Source organism: Homo sapiens, chromosome 7 (genome assembly GCF_000001405.40).
Source record: "Homo sapiens chromosome 7, GRCh38.p14 Primary Assembly".
NCBI lineage: Eukaryota > Metazoa > Chordata > Mammalia > Primates > Hominidae > Homo > Homo sapiens.
Window position 1 is genome coordinate 52,182,933 of NC_000007.14, and position 1,869 is coordinate 52,184,801.

A 1,869-nucleotide genomic window follows, 5' to 3' on the forward strand; every position below is an offset into this window, starting at 1 on the left:
ACTGACACATAGTTGTTCTAATACATTACTAAATGTAAAATATGATTCCTTTGATAGATTTGTCTACTCCTGTTGTAGTACTATACAAAGCATACTGTTCCAATCCCCACACATATATACTGATGATATATATAGTATATATATATATATATATATATATATATATATATATATGTATATGTATATATTTAGTGAGCTACTCTCTTTATTCTTCCCTATTTTCAGAATTTTTGTAAATATTCTATATGACATTTATATCAGCTTGTCTAGGACTAGAAGTTCTTTTAAGATCATATTAAATTAATAGATTATTCAGAGACAATATTTTTCTATTGTCTATGGAAGCTTTGTATTTAACAAAGATAGTGTTTCTTTTGATTTTCAAGTTCTTTTTTACATGCTTGTTGATATCTTTAAGTATTCCTCATAAAAGATTTATGAATTGATTTTATTGGCTTTATAGTAAATGAGTTATGTTCTTTTATGTCTGATTAATTGCACTATTTATTTTGGACAGCTATTTTTATATTATTTGCACAAATATAAATATGGAATTATCTTTTTATTCTAAGAAATTTTTGAACATATTTGCCCGTTTTCACATTTAGTATCTTTAATAGACTTCAGCATTTTTCTCAGATTTATACCTATCAATCCGTAGCTTCATTCATTAGTGATTTTTGGAGTCAGTTTCATGATATTTTTTCCTAATTTTTAAAAATGGTTACTAGAGCGGAAGAAAAATATTTTTTTCCTCTGCCCTCTTGAGTTCTTAGTTGAAATGGACCCATGTAACAAAAGACATTAATAAAAGAAAAACAAAAAGAAGTTTGGGACAAACTCAGGGAATGAGTAGTGCTCAAAAAGGTGGTATTTATTTCCAGCTGATGTGGCATCTTTATCAAAGAACAGGACATGTTTAGAGAAGTGACAAAAACAAGGAAAAGGACTTTGAGGTCTAGGGCTGGCAACTTGGGACAAGGCAAGTAAGTGGCAGACAAAGGCTGGACCCAGAAAGGCCTAAAGCTGTTTAGTGGTGTGAAAAGTTAAAAGTTCCTCTTCAAAGTTTCCCTTTTGTTAAAGAATAAATAGTAAGTGTTAGAAATAATAGTTTCTTTTAAAAACTAACTTCCTTCAAGTTTCCTTGCTTTTTGCTAATAACTGTTAAGCCCTATGTAGTTAAATATAGTAAGGGAATAAGTACGTTCTATGTCCTTGTACTTTAACCAAGTTATTTGTTCAGACCTTTAGCCTCCTCAGACGTGTCCAAACATGCCCAGGCATTTCCCGGCTTACAACCTATGCCTCTTCCTTATTTGGAAATGTTATTATTCTCATAGTTTTCTATAAACAACCTCCATCCTTTCTTTGTTCTCCATCACGCATTTACCTATTTAGGAAAGTTTTAAGTTTTTAGCCAATCGGGATCAGTCTAGATTGTGCGGTCCAGCTCTAGCCAGTGAAGATAGGACACAGCAGTAAGGACCCAATGCGTCAGGGATAAAAACCTCTGCCTTTCTTTGTTTGTGGTGCTTTCATGACAATCAAGCTTCCGAGAAGCACCCTTTCTGCAGAAAGTAAAATTGTCTTGCCAAGAAAATTCATATTCAAGTGCTATTTCCTTTGTGGCACCAAAAATTAATTTGTAGCAGTGGTGACCCTTGGTTCACACTGGTAGTGAGGGGAGGGAGAGGATCTTTGTCTTTACTTTATGTCTTGATTTTGGGCAAGTAGAGAGAGTGCAGAGAACTTTCCTGCATTTATTTCCTCTTATTGCCTTAAGCTCAACAATCCTCAAGCCAATGAAACACATGTAGGGGTGGCATATTCTGGTCCCTCACAATAGTTAGATCATAGATTTTTTTACTC

At 33.2% G+C, this 1,869-nt stretch overlaps 1 annotated feature.

Annotated features, from left to right (window-relative positions):
- Positions 338-1,537: an enhancer, noted in NCBI's record as "MED14-independent group 3 enhancer chr7:52250966-52252165 (GRCh37/hg19 assembly coordinates)". NCBI's record gives its function as "activates an origin of replication core promoter dependent on BRD2, BRD4, P300/CBP and CDK7 cofactors, and independent of MED14, by STARR-seq in HCT116 cells {active_cell/tissue: HCT116}" and the evidence as "EXISTENCE:reporter gene assay evidence [ECO:0000049][PMID:35650434]".